Source organism: Homo sapiens, chromosome 8 (genome assembly GCF_000001405.40).
Source record: "Homo sapiens chromosome 8, GRCh38.p14 Primary Assembly".
In the NCBI taxonomy this organism is placed as follows: Eukaryota; Metazoa; Chordata; class Mammalia; order Primates; family Hominidae; genus Homo; species Homo sapiens.
This window is the reverse complement of record NC_000008.11, coordinates 39,996,904-40,016,729: the sequence shown is the minus strand read 5'-3', so window position 1 is coordinate 40,016,729 and position 19,826 is coordinate 39,996,904. Positions and strand designations below refer to the sequence as shown.

The window sequence follows — 19,826 nt, the reverse complement described above, 5'->3', positions numbered from 1 at the left end:
GAGTTCATGTCCTTTGTAGGGACATGGATGAAGCTGGAAACCATCATTCTCAGCAAACTATTGCAAGGACAAAAAACCAAACACCACATGTTCTCACTCATACATGGGAATTGAACAATGAGAACACTTAGACACAGGAAGGGGAATGTCATACACCAGGACCTGTGGTGGGGTGGGGGGAGGGGGGAAGGATAGAATTAGGAGATATACCTAATGTAAGTGACGAGTTAATGGGTGCAGCACACCGTCATGGCACATGTATACATATGTAACAAACCTGCACGTTGTGCACATGTACCCTAGAACTTAAAGTATATATATAAAAAAAGAAACTAAGTCAATAAAAGCATTTACATTTATTTGCACACTAAACACATTGATTTACTACTTATTCCCAGTTTTCTTATTTACTTATATAGGATCCATTCATTCATTTTACAAATACAGATTTTCAGAGTAAGAAGAGAGAATAATTCTTCTAAAAATAAAGGCATTACAATAGAATTTGCAAATCTAGGTACCACGTGGAAAGTCTCATCCGTTCCCATATCATTAACTGCTCATTTTCACACTAGTGACTTCCAAGTCCTTATTGTCAGCATCCTCTATCTTCCCATCTCCACTGGAGCATTTCCAACCTCCTGCCACCAACTCAACACATTCAGGGAGAAGAGGGCTGGTCTGGGACCACAGAAATCCTGGTTTTAATCTTGGAGGCAGTGCTCAGTATGAACTTAATGAATTGTTAAGTGAATTTGTTTTTTAAGAAAATCAACAAGTAATGTATCCCCAGGCAATTTTATCTGATTTTTGACATTTAGATTGGTTTTCTATTACTTGGCAAAGAGAATGGCATACAGTCACTCCTCTGGGGGTTCTGCATGAGGAAGTATCCATTATACATGCCGTTAAGCAGTGATCAGGTAGGGAGGGAAAGGCTTGGCCACATCAACTCTCCTTTGTGAAGCCAACAGCTCTCAACAAGGAGAATATAGTGCTCTGTAGAGCAGAAACATGAATAGGGCTGAGATCCTTCCTGGATGATCCCAGGCAGAACCCTGACCCTCATTCTCCAGGCCCACCTGCCCTCCATGGGGGCTCTGCATTGCTGGGGAGAGGGCAGCCTCCTAACCACGTGGGTGAAGGATTGACTCCAAGGTCTTATCCCTGACACTCTTAAGAAAGCTCATAACTGCGGTTCCACCTGTGCCCCTGTCTTTTAAAGCCTGAGGAGGCCCTGGGAGATGGTTTGGCTTCCCATGCTTTGCCTTGGCTGCAGCTGTGATGAGGTATTTGGTGACCATGGTGATGTGATAGCTCCGCAGCTCTGCCAGGGCCTGCACACACTGGTTATAAGCTGTCAGCAAGTGGTCCTGTCCAGATGACAGGATGTAGTCCCTCAGGGAAGGTGCTGAGTGGATGTCTTCTATGAAGGCCTTATGGGAAGGAGGCATGTAATCCCTCATTCTGTACAGAAAGTCACCTGAAAGAAACAATACAGCATAACGTCATAGCTCCACATGGAAATATAGCAGAGCTCGTCTGCTTCTTCTTCTTTTTTATTTTTTTTTTCTCTAGATGAGATCTTGCTCTGTTGCCCAGGCTGGAGTGCAGTGGTGTGATCTCAGCTTACTGCCACCTCTGCCCCTGAGTTCAAGTGATCCTCCCACCTCAGTCTTCTGAGTAGCTGAAACTACAGGTGTGCGCCACCACACCCAGCTAATATTTTTTTGTATTCCTTTTAGTAGAGACGGGTTCTTGCTATGTTGCCCAGGCTTGTCTTGAACTCCTGGGCTCAAGCGATCCACCTGCCTCAGACTTCCAAAATTTTGGGATTACAGGCATGACCCACGGTGCCCAATCTTCTCTGCTTTTTCAGACAAGAATGCACCAGAAACTGTTGCTGGTGTTCTAACTCAAATCTACCTTGGCCCTTTTGTTTGCAGACTTCACGTACTCAAATGTATATTTCTAACAGTTGACAGGAGATGGAGAAGAGGAAACAAAGTAAGAACATCTCAGATGACAGAGTTGGAACTAGATTTGTTTGCCAATATATAAATATTTACTACACAACAAATGTAAACAAAGTATCCCGTTGGTAGCTGCTATAAGGAATATCTTCAAATGTAGAACACAAACCCTTGAACTGACTAGCTGAATACTCTGGTGAATTTTGTTTTCTCAGTGCTTTGTTTTGGAGGGAGCACAAGAAAAGGAGAAAGTTATATAAAGCCCGTGAAGGCAAAAAAGATAAAGAATGAGTCACTGTTTTAGTAATAGCCTCTTGAAGCCAAGTGATTTAAAAATCAAATCAATAGATATTTATAGGAAATTCGTTATGGGTTTAATATTATGCATGGTAAGTAAATCAACCATTAATGTCACCAAATGCCAAAATCCGTGAAAAATTATGACAGTTTTAGAGAAGTGACTTGAATCTACGACACTAAGTTCTGGTGATTCTTTTTCTTCTAATCCAACTTGAAAACTCCATAGTATGAAGTGTCTTTTTGCAACTGTTAAAAACTTAACTTGATCCTGGCAGGTAAGAAAATGAACAATTTCAAGCTTCCAGGGTGATAGATCCCTCTGCTGGTATAAATAGATTTGGCTAGAAGTTGCACCATTTTGTGGGGAAGGACTTTCTTGGAAGATCCCAGACCTGTTTCCAGCTGGCCCAGACTCATAGCCTTCAAACTCCACATCTCTCCCCCATTTCAGAAAAAGGAAGCTAGTGTCTAAAGATCCAAACCAAAGTGATAGTGAACAGTTGGAAACAGAGCAACATTTTAAGATTTGGAAGTAAAACCCAAGATCAAGCTGACATCTGATATTCCAATATTAATTGGCTTGACACAAAAACATTGGCAGTCATGCAGTTTCTTGGCTGACTTAGAGAAGTATAAACTTCATGACATTTTAATTTATATTTGGTTTTATCAATTGGAAAAAAAAAAAACACCTCTCCTCTTCCTCCCTCTACTCTCAAGGGAAAACAAAATGTCTGACTTACCACTTTCCTTGCTATGACGAATGCCTAAGAACTCATCAAAGGCATGAAGCACTGTGCTCTGAGCTGCACTCCCGCCGGAGTATTTCAGGGGCTCTTGGGAAACTCCTTCATACATCAGCCCTGCAGGCATTGCTGGGTTGTCTTTCCATCTAAGCAAGAGAAAAGTGAGAGAGATGAAAGGGGTGCAGGGAGGTAATGGTATATTTTCTGACATGGAAACTGAGAGTGAATGAGAAAGGGAACATGATTTCAATGGTAATTTTAGGGTGAGGGATTGGGGGTATCTTTGTAGGGTAAGTACTGAAGCATCATCTTCACTCCAGCTTCATAACAAGCTATAAAATCACAGCCCTTTTCTTCCTCATCTAAAGGGTTATTCCAGAGAGGTAAAGGCTATTTAGAGAGGAATTTGTGGCACAGGTCCCAAGACATATTTATTGCACATACTCAGTTATAAAGATGTCCTCAGTGTTGGTCAAAAGGCACATTTTAGGGGCTCTGGAAAAATCTTCACTTCCTTTGCTAATCTCAACCTTGATGAGCAGATACTTTTTAACTCCGCCAAGTAAAGAGCCTCACAAATATACACAAACACCCACAATTACATACACAGATACACACAGATGAACACACACACACACACACCTTTGCCCTTCCCTGAAACAGTGATAATTGTTAAGAAGTCATCACGTTAAACTACCAATTCTGGATATTACTCAACTTTGTAATCTATAACGTACAGATGTTACCTGACTTTGAGGATGCCTTTATCAAATACTTTGTTGACCACAGGTATTGATAATAAGGATGGATAAGAAGAGTAACAGCAGGAAGCACAGAGTAAGCCTGTGCCTCGCCAGAGGCTGAAGTCAGGGACATGCAGAAAGGCTGGGACTGGGCTGCCGGCCATGCTCTGTGAAGCAGCTGTTCTCCTCTCCTCCATTCCCTTCCCCCTTTCCTTCTCCTCTCCTCCCCACCTTTCCTCTCCTTTGTCTTCCTGATTCCTGTTCTTCACTGTTTTCTCTGAGTTCCCCCTCTTTATGCCTCCATCTGTTTTACTTATTTTCCTGTGTCTGACTTTGCATAGTCTTGAACAATCACAGTTTGTGGGGGTGACTTTATAATGTGTCCAAAACAAGTTCATGTCACATTTGCACCTACCATGCTGTATAGTTTATAAAGCATCTTCACATTCATTTTCTCATTTGACCTCTTGTGTGTACATCAGGACAGATTTTTGGAGTTTTTTTAAATACTTCATTTCATAGATAAAGTAACAAAGACTCAAAGCAATTAAGGTTCCAGGGTCATACTGTTAAAGGATGATAGAACCAGAACTTGATCCCCAAACTTGCAATTTTCTATCTTCATTTTTACAAGAACCCCATATGTGGATTTCCATTTTTACTAAGGAATATCGTCTTTTCCTCCTATAGCCAGAAACAAGCTACTTTCTCTGTTATGAGTTTAAACAGCAGATCCACATTGATGTTGCACATTTTTTTTCTATAATTCTAAAAGTTATTTTGCTCAAGAGAAGGGACATACACACACACCATATACACATATAAAAGCCACAGACAGACTGCTGTGTTTGCTGTTCATGATATTTTTCAAATACTGCTCTGAGGCTGGAAGTGCTGTAAGGAGCCAGGTTGTTTTCACTGGGGACGCTTTGGGTTGGCTGTGCTACAGCTTTCACTGGATAAACAGCACAGTGGCCTCCGCAATTGGGGCAACATCACTCTGAAAAGAGATGCGGTACAGAAAGCAGTGCAGGGGAATGGTGGGAAGAGGAAAGGAGAGGTTACTGCTGCCAGGCCCTGACAGGCTGCAGCTATTAGGAGCAAGGCCTCTATCTCAAGCAGATATGGAATTTAATTTTACCTTTGCTATTTATTAACAGTGAGCCTTGGCTTAGTTCATTAACCTCTCTGAGCCTCAGCTTTCTCATCTGAGTAAATTAGTATCTCCCTTATTGGATTATTGTGAGAACTAATTAAAATAATACCTGCCCAGGGCCTGGAACATGTTAAGCATTCAGTGAATACTAGCCATTTTATCATATTCTTTAGAGTGAGTGGGAATCCCGGCTCCCCTTTCATTACTGTGTAACTTTGTACAAATCTTTCTGAGCCTTAGATTTCCAATTTGTATTTGCTTCCTACAGCTGTTGAAAAATAAAATAGGCTCCAGAGAGGTTTTGTGATTTGTCCAATGTTAAGACCCTAGTCTAATAAAGTTGATGAACAACATTTTATGGGGAAGAAACATGAAAGACATAACTGCTGTTGGGTGATATATGGGCACACATGTTCGGGTCTTTCTTTGTAATCTGGTTGATGGTCTTATGTAGTCATTTGGGGCTTTTTCACTAGCTCCTTCCCATCTTGAGTACTGCTAAATGTTGCACTCTCAAAGGGTCAGTCCGTGGACTGCTCACTGCTCTCAATTCCCAAATGGTCTTCTCTAGCCTCATAGATTTAGAAAACAACTATATCCCAGCTGGATGGGGTGGCTCATGCCTGTAATCCCAGCACTTTGGGAGGCCCAGGCGGGGAGATCGATTGAGGTCAGGAGTTTGACACCAGCCTGGTCAACATGGTGAAACCCCATTTCCATTAAAAACACAAAAATTAGCCTGGTATGGTGGTGCACACCTGTAGTCCCAGCTACTCGGGAGGCTGAGGCAGGAGTATCGCTTGAACCCAGAGGCAGAGGTTGCAGTGAGCTGAGATTGTGCCATTGCACTCCAGTTTGGGCGAAAGAGCAAGACTGTGTCTCACAAAAAGAAAAAGAAAAGCCTATATCCTGACTATTTACAAATGTAAAAAGCTATTTACACTGATAGCTAGACCACTCCCCTATATTCCAGACCCATACATCCAACTGCCTACTTGATATGACCGTGTCCCCAAACTGATCTCCTGATTTCCTTTCTTCTTTGCTAAACCTGTTCCTCCTATAGTCTTCCTCATTGGAGTAAATGATGTCTCTGTTCTTTCAGTGAACCAGGACCCCAAAACCTGCAAATTATCTTTGACTCATATCTTTCCATCAACTTTGATTTCAGTATATATCCAGAATCTGACCATTTCTCAACACCTTTAGCCCTTGTACCCTAGTACAAGCCACCACCCTGGATTGTAATGATCGCTTCTTAAATATTTTCCCTGTTTCCGTCTTTATTCTTGGAGTTTATTTCCTACTCAGTCAATACAGAGATGATTTGCAACTGAAGGCAGATCACATTGTTATTCTTTTCAAAACGTGTCCGTGTTGTCCATCTCACTCAGAAAAGAAGCTGACAAAGCTCTACATGATCCGGTCTCTACTGTCACCTCACTCTTTCTTATTCTCCCCTGAGTGTTGCGGCCCTGCTGGCTTCCTGCAGCTCTTCCACCACGACCAACACGCTCCCACCTCAGGGTTATTGCACTTGCCATTCCTTCTTGGCGGCTCACTCCCTCACTTCCTCCAGGTGTCTGCTCAAATGTCATAGAGGGCTGTGGCACTCTTGGACCACAATAAACAGGAAAATTTGGCCACTACATTCGACAGTCTCTAATACTCTCTATCCAGCTTTCCATTTCTTCATTGTGCTTACCATTGTAATGTATATTGTATGACGCTTTTATTAGATTTACTTGTGTATTAATTGTCCATCCCCCCACCCACCGCATTGAAATGTAAGCTCCAGAGGGGCCAAGTTGAGGGTTGGTTTTACTGCTCTATTTCCAGCACCTAGAACTGACATGGGGTAGGCACTCACTAAATATGTGATAAATGAATGATTTAAAAATAACATCCTACAAGTATGTATTATATATCCAGAATATGTAGCCCAAGCATAGTTCTTGAAAGAACGTGGCCAACTTAAAAGAGCCATCCAATGTCTCAAATGGCCAAGAGACATTAATCAATCTGCTTTCAGTGCCTCACCCTCAAGAGGATTTCCACAGTGAAGGTGACAGAGAAAACACCAGCATACAAGTCCAAAAAGATAAAAGAAGCACATCTACTTTAAAAACTCATGTTCTCTAGGTTGGTAATTCTAGTCTGAGGAAGGGAAATTGTGTTTCTTTGAGCAGCCCAATTATTGCTCCCATACATTCTCAGGTCCAAGCTGCTACTGTGAAAAAAGAGGAACTATTTTCCTTTCAAATATCTGTAGGCACAATTATTTTTAGCCTTTCTTGTAGCAACTTTCTAGCAACCCCAAGAAAATGAGAAGTTTTAGTGGGGAAAAAAAAATGAGATCATTTTTTTTTTTTTGCAAAGGCTAACTTCCTCAAGAAATTGAATGTGTGTGGGAACTAAAGGGAATGAATATGTGTCATCTACATATGAAATATCTCCATTCTCCTAAATAAAAATGTTTTTAAAAAGTAAGCAAAAAGGCCAGGTGTGGTGGCTCATGCCTGTAATCCCAGCACTTTGGGGGACCAAGGTGGGCAGATCACCTGAGGTCAGGAGTTCAAGAACAGCCTGGCCCACAGGGCAAAACCCTGTCTCTACTGAAAATACAAAAATTAGCCGGGCACTGTGGCAGGTGCCTGTAGTCCCAGCTACTTGGGAGGCTGAGGCAGGAGGAAAGCTTGAACCTGGGAGGCAGAGGTTGCAGTGAGCCAAGATTGCGCCATTGCGCTCCAGCCTGGGCGACAAAGCGAGACCTCCATCTAAAAATAAATAAATAAATAAATAAATATAAATAATAAATCAAAAATAGGATAAATCAAGAACAAAAAAGCAAATTTACATTTTTCTAGACAATGCTAATGGGAATTCTCAGTAATCCAGATATTTTTGTCCATCTACACTTATTAATGCATGTAGGATTCGGTACTGGCCACTTAGCTACATGGGAAATATTTTGAGGGTAAGAAACAGAGCGGAGGCATTTATGTAAATCAAAGATAAAATGTGTCAATGACTCCGAATTTATTTTAATGAAAGTAAAATCACCTTCTAGTACACATCTAATCATGGGGATTTCAGAATATATAGTTCATCCTCATCAGATGCTTCTGACATAGAGAAGAAGTAGAATCAATTTATCCCTTGAAGGATACTGTGGTAGGTATAATTCTAAAAATGGTTTTCCAAGATTCTTATCATAATTCTTAGAACTATTAGTATTATGCTATAGCATGTCTGTCAGTATGATATATTATGGCAAAGGGGACTTTGCAGGTGTAATTAAGGTTATTAATCAGTTGACCTTGACATAGGGAGTTATCCTGAATTACCTAGGTAAGCTGAATCTAATCACATAAGACCTTTAAAATCAGAGAGTTTTCTCTGGCTAGAGGCAGAAGGAGAGGTGAGAAGGAATCAAAGTGCTAGAAGGATTAGAATTGTCAGTGCTGGCTGGGCATGATGGCTCATGCCTGTAATCTCAGCACTTTGGGAGGCTGAAGTGGGAGGATCACTTGAGGTCAGGAGTTCAAGACCAGCCTGGCCAACATGGTGAGACCACATCTCTATGAAAAATACAAAAATCAGCCGGGCTGGTGGCGGGTGCCTGTAATCCCAGCTACTCGGGAGGCTGAGGCAGGAGAATCACTTGAACCCGGGAGATGGAGGTTGTGGTGAGCCGAGATCGTGCCACTGCACCCCAGCCTGGGTGACAAAGCAAGACTCTGTCTCAAAAAAAAAAAAAAAAAAAGTGCCAGTGCTGAGATGGAAAAAAAAAAACACATGATAAGGAATACTGGATGCCTCAAGAAGCTGAGAGCAGCTCCTGTCTGACAGCCAACAAGGAAACAGATCTCAGTTCTAGAACCACAAAACACTGAATTCTGACAACAACCTAAATGAGTTTTGAAGGGAATTCTTCCCCAGATCTTCAGTTAAGAGCCCAGCCCAATAGATAAATTGACTTCGGCCTTTTGCGACCCTAAATGGAAAAGTCAGTTGAGCTTGCCTATGATTCCGACTTACAGAATTGTGAAACAATGAATGCATATTGTTTTAAGCTGCTAAATTTGTGGTAAATTGTTACGTAACAAGGGAAAACATACAGATTTAGAGAGCAATGTGAAGCAAAAAGGGATTTTCCAGAATTGGGGTGCTTCCTAAATCCCAGTCTGTTTCTGCATCTATAGTATAAGCCTGCTATGTGGTAGCATGAAATTTTTAAAAATGGTCCATTTTTCTTTTTCTAATCCTATCAAAGGTATACAGAGAAAGCCTAAATACTAAAACACACTCCCAGCTCCATTTCTGCACCCTTCTTTTTGTTTTCCCTTTCCCCCATAAACCATACACCCATTACTCTCAATCTTGGAAACCTTCTTGCTTCCACTCTGTACCCTCTACAAGGAGGATTCCATCCCCACTCCCTCCCAGGCTGGACTCTGTTTGAAGTGCTTCACACGTCAAACACACCCAATCTGGAGAAAATACTTAGTATGTGTTGCTACTCTGTCCTTGCACCAATGTAATATAGTAGATTTTTAGCATTTGCATGTCTCTTGCTGTATCCAGACACAGCTTCAGATTATTTCTATTGATAGCACTTCAGGTGTCTCCTAGTTAATAAGATGGCCCACTAGATGATATCTATTTGACATATTCACCTCATCCAGCCATTGCCTCCACCTTTCATTTTTCACTGTTTAAAAATTAAACAAAAACATAGCAGAAACTCTTAATTTCCGAAGTTAATAGGAAGGCAATCTGATTAAAACATGTCAAGGAAGGAATGGCTAATTTGTTTAAGCAAAGAGAGTATCTAAAAGTAGAGTTATCAGCCAGACGTGGTGGCTCAAGCCTGTAATCCCAACATTTTGGGAGGCCAAGGTGGGCAGATCACCTGAGGTCAGGAGTTCGAGACCAGCCTGACTAACATGGCAATACTCCGTCTCTACTAAAAATACAAGAATTAGCCAGGCTTGGTGGCAGCCACCTGTAATCGCAGCTACTCGGGAGGCTGAGGCAGGAGAGTAGTTTGAATCCAGGAGGCAGAGGTTGCCGTGAGCCAAGATGGCACCACTGCACTCCAGCCTGGGTGAAAAGAGCAAGACTCTGTCTCAAAAAATAAAATAAAATAAAATAAAATAAAATAATAGTAGAGTTCTCTATGTGAAGAAATTTCAAGCCATGTGACAAAAGAAGAGTACTCAGAAAATATGAAAAAAATGGTTTGGGGTAGTGTTTTAGTTTGTTCCTGTTGCTACAACAAAATACATTAGACTGGGTAATTTGTAAATACAGATATTCCTTAATTCACAGTGGGTTACATCCTGATAAACCCAATGTAAGTTGAAAATATCATAAGACAAAAAATGCATTTAATACATCTGACCTACCAAACACCTTAGCTTAGCCTAGCTGCCCTTAAATGTGCTCAGAACACTTACATTAGCCCACAGTTGGGCAAAATCACCTAACGCAAAGCTTATTTATGTCAACATGTTGAATATGTTATGGAATTTATTAAATACTGTACCAAATGTGAAAAACAGAATGGTTGTATGGGTACTCAAAGTAGTTTCTACTGAATATGTATGCTTTTGCACCAACATAAAGTCAAAAAATGGTAAGTCAAACTGTATTGAGTTGGGGACTACCCATAACAGAAATGTATTTCTCACAGTTCTGGAGGCTGGGAAGTCCAAGATCAAGGTGCTGGCAAGTTCAGTGTCTGGTGAGGGCCTGGTCTCCACGTCCAAGGTAATGCCTCAACTCCCGTGTCCTCACATAGTGGAAGGGACAAGGAATGGAAGAAAAAAGGAGCAAAAAGGGCCAAGTGAACTCCCTCCAGCCCCTTTATAAGGGCATTAGTTCCACTCAGGGGATTGTCTTCTCCTCTCAGAGGAGACATAATCACCTCCCAGAGAACCCACCTTCGAATACCTCACCATCACAATTAGGTTTTAACATATGAATTTTGGAGGGACACATTCGTTCAAACCACAGTGTAGCTCTTCCAGGAACTTTAGAAGAAAGCTTCGATGCTATCCAACTCTATACTACACTCCCCAGCCTTCTACATGCCTTAATAACAAGAAGAAAAAGTAGATGTAAGTGATAGAACTGTGTGAGTGACATACTGTGTTTTTCTTCTTCTGTCATTGAGCTAGGATTCTAAGAAAAGTGAATATAAATGGATCTGAACTGCCTAGGAACAAACACTCTTAACTGAAATACTTAGCCCTCAGTGTTATTTGTTGTGCAGATGGTATCCCACTTCTTTTACCTGAGAGTGGATCCCTAGCAAGAGTCACTTGGTATGTTTCTTACGCTAGGAAGCTTCTGTCTCTTCGTCCCCTTATACATTCAGTCAATGCTACAGAGACTTCACACAGGAAAACAACTGAACTATACTTACCCAGAGAGAAAGATCCGGATGCCTGCATAAAATATGTCTGGATCTACATAATCTGGAGAAGCAATCAAAATGTGAACTTTACTACAGGCAAAGAAAGCAATTGGTTACATGTGCATGGGCCCTGCTGCTGTCCCGGAGTTCCTTCCCTATCTGATATGCATGGAGACCTGGAATGAAAGCTGCAGCAACGGGGGATAGAATGTTCTCTTCTGCAGTTGCCCTCATGGGTGCTCCCGGAACTTCTAAACTATTCCATATGTTGCCCTTTGCTATTTGTGGTTCTTCCTTTCTCTGTACTTAATAATAACAACAAAAAAGAGAACAAGGCCATCTTTTAAAATTTCGTATTTTAAACAGGCAATGTTTGAGAAAATGAAGGAAGGGAAAAGAAGAAAAGCAGAGAGAATTACCTCTCTCAAGGTTTTCACAAGAGATGAAAACTAAATTCACCGATGCTTAACTGAAAGTCTGAATATTCAGTGAAGGATACAAGAGCGGAGCAAGTGTCCCTTGCCCAGGGATTGCCACACTAGGTCAGAGACAGGTTCACTTAGCTTCATGTTTAGCTACCTTCATTAATATAAACAACTATTTTTGATCTATTCCAATGTTTGAGGATAACTGATTCTTCCAGTTTACTAACTTGTATGTAAGGAAGCCTGCCCTCTTATTTGTACTAAATTTCTTTTCGAAGGTTGTTCTATTGTTTTCACGTAGTGGGACCCCTCTGAATTCTGTCACCTGGCATATGCCTATCTTACTGAGATCACTGTGTCTCTGTTTCTGAGATTATCTATCTATCTATCTATCGTCTATCTATCTATCTATCTATCTATCTATCTATCTATCTATCATCTGTCTGTCTAATCTGTCTACATCTTTATGTGAGGCCTAAATAACAACATCTATTTATCATCTATCTATCTATGTATTTATCTATCTATCTCTCTATCTATCATCTATCTACCTATCTACCTATTTATCTACATCTTTTATGTGAGACCTAAATAATAACATCTCCATACCATCAGCTTCCTTTTCCAACCAACATACGTAGTCTTTGATCCTATTTCTTCTTCCTGCTCCCTAATTTCTCTGAAGTGTCCATGAGCCTGGGTGACTCATGTCTTCCTTCAGCCTCCAGCCCTTCAGATGCTCCTTGGTGGTGTCACATTCTGTCTGCTTACATGTGACAATGCCCCATGCGCTAGATTTTTACTGGGTCCTACTTCTACATCTTTTTTATTTGATGCTGTCTTTTCACCAATACTGCTAAGACACTACTACTTTTTGCTGAAGCAGAATGACAGGTGATACTTTAATATTTTGCCCAACTTAACATATTAAAGAAGGAAAAGTGAAATGACCATTTCAATAGGTGTGAAATATCTTCTATGTAAAATGATTTCAATAGATGTAAAAAAATCCACTCATGATGAAAACAAACATGCAGAAAACTTCAGCTAATTAGGAATAAGAGATGTTCTTAAATGGATAAAAGGAATCCACAGAAAGCCTATGGTGCATATTATACTTAACAGTGAAATAGTAAAAGCAATCTTTTTTCAAATGTGAAACTAAACAAGGATCAGCACTTCCACTCAATACTGTGTTAGAAGTCCTAGCCAGGAGAATAAGAAAAAAATTATTAAAAAGAAATAAAAGTTGTAAATTTTATAAATGAAGAAGCAAAGCATGCTACTCAAACAATATGATTTATAAATAAAAAACACATATAATCTACTGATAATTATTAGAATGAATAATAGTGTTTACCAAGGTGCTAGATTTAAGGTTAATATTCAAATATCAACATCATTTTTGAAACTGGAAATGAACAGGTAAGAGGCAGGTAAATAGACAGACACCATATTTATTAGAAACAAAAATATCAAGTAACTATGAATAAAGCAGAAGATAGGTAAGCCCTTTATCTTGAAAGAAATTGAAGAAAAACTAGTAAATGAAAGGATATATTCTCGTTTTCTTTTTTTTTTTTTTTTTTTTTTTGAGATGGAGTCTCGCTCTTCACCCAGGCTGGAGTGCAATGGCATGACCTTGGCTCATTGCAACCTCCGCCTCCTTGGTTCAAGCAATTCTCCTGCTTCAGCATCCTGAGTAGCTGGGACTACAGGCATGTGTCACCACACCTGGATAATTCTTGGGTTTTTAGTAGAGATGGGACTTTACCATGTTGGCCAGGCTCGTCTCAAACTCCTGACCTCAGGTGATCCACCCACCTTGGCCTCCCGAAGGGATATACTCTCTTATACCATGTTCATGGACAGGAAAACTCAATATGAATACCTAAAAGAAGAAATGTATTGAAGAGAAGAGTTCTCTGTCTGGATATATTTCAGGCCATGTCACAAAAGAATATTGAGCCATATGAAGAAATGATTTGAGGTGGTTTACCCAGGAATTTTAGTTATTATTTTATGCTATTCTCTGCCTCTCTTTTTGCCTTATTCATAATACAGAAATATTGAATAGATAATCAAAATCAAGTCATTTTTCTCCAAATTAATGTAGACATTTAATAAAATTTGTACAAAATTTCCAACATAGATATTTTATTTTATTTATTTATTTATTTTTGGAGATGGAGCCTCACTCTGTCACCCAGGCTGGAGTACAGTGGCATGATCGCGGCTCACTGCACCCCCCGCCTGCCAGGTTCAAGCGATTCTCCTGCCTCAGCCTCCTGAGTAGCTAGAATTCAAGTGCCCAACGTCCAGCTAATTTTTGTATTTTTAGTAGAGACGGGGTTTCATCAGGCTGGTCTCCAACTCCTGACCTCAAGTGATCTGCCCTCCTCAGCCTCCCAAAGTGCTGGGATTACAGGCGTGAGCCACCGCGCCCAGCTCCAACATAGATTTTTAAAATGGAACTTGGCTAGATGATTCTAACAGTCTATATGAAGGTCTTAGTCCAGGATAGCACAAGCGATGCTGGAGGAGAAAAGCAAGGTGACGGGGTTTGCTCTGCTTGAAAATGAGGAATACCACAAGGCTAGAGTTTTTAAGGCAGATGATATCGTTGCAGGAAAAGACAGATAATGAAACAGAACAGAGAGCCTAGAAAACACACCCATTCATTTTAGAAAATCTGACATAAGACTGTGCTAATACTGCAGGTTTGTGCTTATCCATAGGAGGGAAATAGAATTTATTTCTCATCTCATACTACTTACAGATAATTATAAGTAGCAAGTAGTAATTATATGTGAATTAAAAACTAAAAAGTGAAAGACAAAACAACTTTAGAAGAAAATACATAAAAATGTATTTATGGGCCAGGCATGGTGGTTCACACCTATAATCCCAGCACTTTGGGAGGCTGAGACAGGTGGATCACTTGAAGTCAGGAGTTTGAGACCAGCCTGGCCAACATGATGAAATCCTGTCTCCACTAAAAATACAAAAATTAGACTGGTGTGGTGGCACATGCTTATTATCACAGCTACTTGGGAGGCTGAGGCAGGAGAATTGCTGAACCCAGGAGGCAGAGGTTGCAGTGAGCTGAGATCAACCCACTGCACTCCAGCCTGGACAACAAAATGAGATTCTGTCTCAACAACAACAAAAAAGTATTTATGACTTATGATGATGGGATAATTTCTTATTCAAGACCTCTTAAACCACAGACTTTCACAAATGATTTACAGGTTGGCTATATTTAAATTAAGAACTTTTACTTTCAAAAGGCATAAGACAAACCATAAAAAATGCAACACATACAATTAACAAAAATCAGCCTTCAGAGTGTACAAAAAACATTAAAAAAAACAAGTAAGATAAAAGCCTAATTAGTATAAAAATGAGGAAAGATGGCTGGGCGCAGTGGCTCACTCCTGTAATCCCAGCACTTTGGGAGGCTGAGGTGGGCAGATCACAAAGTCAGGAGTTTGAGACCAGTCTGGCCAACATAGTGAAACCCAATCTCTACTAAAAATACAAAAATTAGCTGGGCATGGTGGTGCACGCCTGTAGTCCCAGCTACTCTGAAGGCTGAGGCAGGAGAATTGCTCGAACCCAGGAAGTGGAGGTTGTGGTGAGCCAAGATCGCACCACTGCACTCTAGCCTGCAACAGAGCGAGACTCTGCCTCAAAAAAAAAAAAAAAAAAAAAAAATGAGGAAAGCCACATATTTTACAGAAAATAGGCACGAATGGTGAGTACCTGTATACACAGAGAGAGAGAGAGAGAAAGAAGAGATTGTTAACTCATCAGAAATCAGGGAAATCAGCTGGCCACAGTGGCACACGCCTATAATCAATCTCGGTACTTTGAAAGGCCAATGTGGGAGGATCATTTGAAGCCAGGAGTTCAAGACCAGCCTGGGCCATGTAGCGAGACCTTGTTTCTACATAAAAATAATTTTTTAAAAATTTAAAAAGAAAATCAGAGAAATGCAAAGTAAAACCATGATGAAGCACCACTATACGCCTATCAGACTGGCAATAAACAAATAAACAAAAGACTGAATGAATGAATTAATGAATGAAGAAATGAAGTTGACAAAACTAAATGTGATGGGGAGGTGGAATTTCAACTTAGTTCAAACATTGTGAAGAACAATTTGGTGTTGGCCAATAAAACTAAAGATGAATGTAAAGTCCTGTTGAACAATTCAACTCCCTGGTGTCCACCCTACAGAAAACCTGAAATATGTAAACTTGTAGCTATGGGCATGAATATATGTAATGACATTGCTTTTCATAGCAAAACAAACAAACAGAAATAAGTGCAGAATAAGTAAATTGTAGTCTATTTGTACAAAATGCTGCTATATAGTGGTGAAAATGTGCTATGTCTATATGACCAATGTGAATGACCCTTAGTGAAATAGGGAAATTGCAGGAAGAAATTTATACATTTTAATTCTTTTTAGACAAGGTTCAAAACCCTACAAAACAAAATAATATATCATGATAATATGCTGTTTAGGAATACTTTTTTTTTTTTTTGAAGATGGAGTCTCACTCTGTTGCCACACTGGAGTGCAGTGGCACGATCTCAGTTCACTGCAACCTCCGCCTCCTGGGTTCAAGCGATTCTCCTGCCTCAGCTTCCTGAGTAACTAGGACTACAGGCACGCCACTACGCCCAGCTAGTTTTTGTATTTTTAGGAGAGACATGGTTTCATCATATTGGCCAGGATGGTCTCAATCTCTTGACCTCATGATCCGACCACCTCAGCCTCCCAGAGTGCTGGGATTACAGGTGTGATCCACCAAGCCCAGACAGGAATACTTACTTTTTTAATAGTGAAAGTATACTGGATGTTTTATAATCACCTTAAATTAAATAAGTCTTTAAAAAATTGTCTTTGATTATTTTTAAAGAAATTAATTTATGAAGTCTAGGTAAGACATGCATTTGGCACACAATTTACGAAGTTCAACAAGGTATCTAATGAGAAGTATGCTTTCCTCCCATTCCTGACCCCAGCAATCAATTCCTCTCACCAAAAGTATCCCATGGTCACTGGCTGCCTCTGGTGAATGTTTACGGAGAATATTCTCAGATTGGCTATTGGGCAAGACTTCTAAAGCTTACAATTGACCTTTCTTCTCATCCTCTTGAGGAAGAAAATAAAAAGTTTAACAATTTTGGCCAGGCATGGTGGCTCCCGCCTGTAATCCTAGCACTTTGGGAGACCAAGGTGGTGGATGACCTGAGGTCAAGAGTTTGAGACCAGCCTGGCCAACACAGTGAAATCCTGTTTCTACTAAAAATACAAAAATTAGTTGTGCATGTTGGCAGGTGCCTGTAAAAATAAAAAGTTTAAAAATTGTGGCCAGGCGTGGTGGCTCAGGCCTGTAATCTTAGCACTTTGGGAGACTGAGGTGGGTGGATCACCTGAAGTCAAGAGTTTGAGACCAGCCTGGCCAACATAGTGAAATCCTATTTCTACTAAAAATACAAAAATTAGCCTGGCGTGTTGGCAGGTGCCTGTAATCCCAGCTACTCGGTAGGCTGAGGCAGGAGAATCGCTTGAACCGAGAGGCAGAGGTTGCATTGAGCCAAGATTGCACCACTGCACTCCAGCCTGGGCAACAGAGGAAGACTCCATCTCAAAAAAAAAAAAAAAAAAAAAGCAGCAGCAGAATGAAGCCCAAGGCCAATAAATTGAGCAACCCAAAAAGTAGACAGATACAGAGAAACAGGTACACATAGTCAGGGGAGAAAGATAAACCGACAGCTAACATCTCAATAGCAACCATGGAAACCAGAAGCTTTTGTACCGATATGTTCAACATCTAAAAGAATATAGCTGCTAGCAAAAATATCCTTCAGGAATTGAGGAGAAATAAAGCAACTTTTAGAGGGGAGAGTTTACCACCAGCAGACACTCACTAGAGGAAGTCTTAAAGGATGTACTGAAGGAATTTCTAAAGAAGTGAGGGCAAACTTTAGAAGCATTAACATGGGGCTGGGCATGGTGGCTCACGCCTGTAATCCTAGCACTTTGGGAGGCTGAGGAAGGTGGATTTCCTGAGCTCAGGAGTTTGACACCAGCCTTGGCAACATGGCAAAACCCCGTCTCTACTAAAAATACAAAAAAATTAGTGGGGTGTGGTGGTGTGCACCTGTAATCTCAGCTACTCGGGAAGTTGAGGCACGAGAATTGCTTGAACCGGGGAGGCACAGGTTGTAGTGAGCCGAGATCATAGCATTGCACTCCAGCCTGGGTGACAGAATGAGACTCTGTCAAAAAAAAAAAAAAAAAAAAAAGAAGAAGAAAAAAAGCATTAACATGGGAGGGAGGGGAGTCTGAGTTCTGCAAACAGAGCTCACACTGGAACTGATTCCCTTGCAGTCATTTTCTGTCCAACCAAACAGCTGATCAGACATGGGAGCCAGCCAGAGCTGCACTGGAGATGAATGGGGACTGCTGTATGACACGTGCTTCTGCACTGGGAATTTCCGAAGACTGCCCTGGAGGAGTCATTATGTTATATAGAGCCTCATGATGACAGTGAGGACAGCATGAATGGTCATGAAGATACAAAAAATGTATATTTTGTTCAAATATACATTTTTCAAAAGAAAGTTGCAGAGAACAAAATATACATTTTCTGATTGCACATGTCACTAGGATAATGAAACATGCCATATCTCAAATGGGAAATGCCCAAGAAAGTGTTAAACAACGTGTACGTGTGTTCATCAGCTTTATAACACCTGAGGCAAGTGAAAGATGCCCCCAAGAGAAACAGAAATGGCCAGTGGAGAGGATTTTCACTTTGCCATGTCTACCATAGGCTTTGACAGTTATATGGAACCTCTGAAATTATCCCTCAGAAACTCAGAAAGGCTGTGAAAGGAGAGAAGGGAATTGGTGGAGAAGTCAGAGCTACAGATGGGCTAAGTGAGGAGCTTACAGAATAGGCATTTGCTAGCCAGTCACCAGCCGGCTTCATACCTGCTGCTGGGCAGCAACAAATGTTATGACTTATGTACCACCATAGCAAGAGATTTCTGGTGTTCAACAAATTCTGTTTCCATGCTCTGAAGAAATGATGGGATGGGGAGTGTAGGGAAGTGAGAGTGTGTGTTTCTGGAATAGAAATATCAGAAGACAACGACTGGTGAAAATGTGTCCCTTTGTGTATTAAGTAGCTGTAATGTAACTTCCTGATGTTTGGCTAGTTGAGGTGTTAATTCTGACTAGAGAATCTTTTTCATAAAAGATATTTATTTATTTACTTATTGAGACAGGGTCTCACTCTGTCCCCAGGCTTCAGTACAATGGTGTGACCTTGGCTCATTGCAGCCTTGAGGTGCATCCTCCCACCTCAGCCTCCTGGGTAGCTGGAACCACAGGCGCTCACCACCATTACCATCTAATTTTTGTATTTTTTTGTAGAGATGGGGTTTTGCTATGTTGCCCAGGCTGGTCTCAAACTCCTGGGCTCAAGCGATCCTGCCTTGGCCTCCCAAAGTGCTTGGATTACAGGCATGAGCCACCGCATCTGGCAATGATTTCTTTTTTTTTTACTTTGGATTTTAAAAGTATAAAATATTTTTGTTTCCTAGGAGAGTTTATTCTTCCGTAAGACTCCTGCATGTATTGTATATTACAATTTATTACTGTCAGAAATTTGTAGACAGTTTCTTATTTTCATATTGAGTCATGCCACTTTTGTAATTCAGGAAGCAGCTGGGTTAATTCATAAAGTCTGCCCTTTTAATAAAATATAGTGGTAGAGTTCATTTTGAATGCAAGTTGCTTGTATTATGAATTTGTATTTGTCTTGGTTGTATATCTTGCATAATAGTTTAGCTAGAGTTTTAGCATTTACTGTATTTATTAAAATGATTTCTTTTGTAAAGCATTCATAGCTTGAGCAGCAGCATTTTTCAACAGTGTAACTGAGTAAGTGTGAATGCAGAAGAAAATATTGTCTGCCCTATTAAACTTGGTGCCAATTAGCGGCGTTTACAATGTTCATTGTGCCTGTTAATG

The 19,826-nt window shown here is 40.6% G+C and overlaps 1 protein-coding gene and 1 pseudogene across 2 annotated transcripts in view; one reads left to right on the top strand and one right to left on the bottom strand.

The window, feature by feature from the left end:
* Positions 1–337: 337 nt before the first annotated feature.
* IDO2 (indoleamine 2,3-dioxygenase 2) overlaps positions 338–19,826 on the bottom strand; it is an 81,742-nt gene continuing 62,253 nt past the window's right edge. For both annotated transcript variants that reach the window (NM_194294.5, NM_001395206.1), the window contains 3 exons: positions 11,352–11,403; positions 3,017–3,165; positions 338–1,483 (listed from right to left, as the gene is read on the bottom strand). In NM_194294.5, coding sequence (NP_919270.3) covers positions 1,128–1,483; positions 3,017–3,165; positions 11,352–11,403 — 557 coding nt within the window. In that variant the 3' untranslated portion in view covers positions 338–1,127. The remainder of the gene's footprint in view (positions 1,484–3,016; positions 3,166–11,351; positions 11,404–19,826) is intronic.
* Positions 18,238–18,861, top strand: LOC100420944 (nuclear transcription factor Y subunit beta pseudogene; annotated as a pseudogene).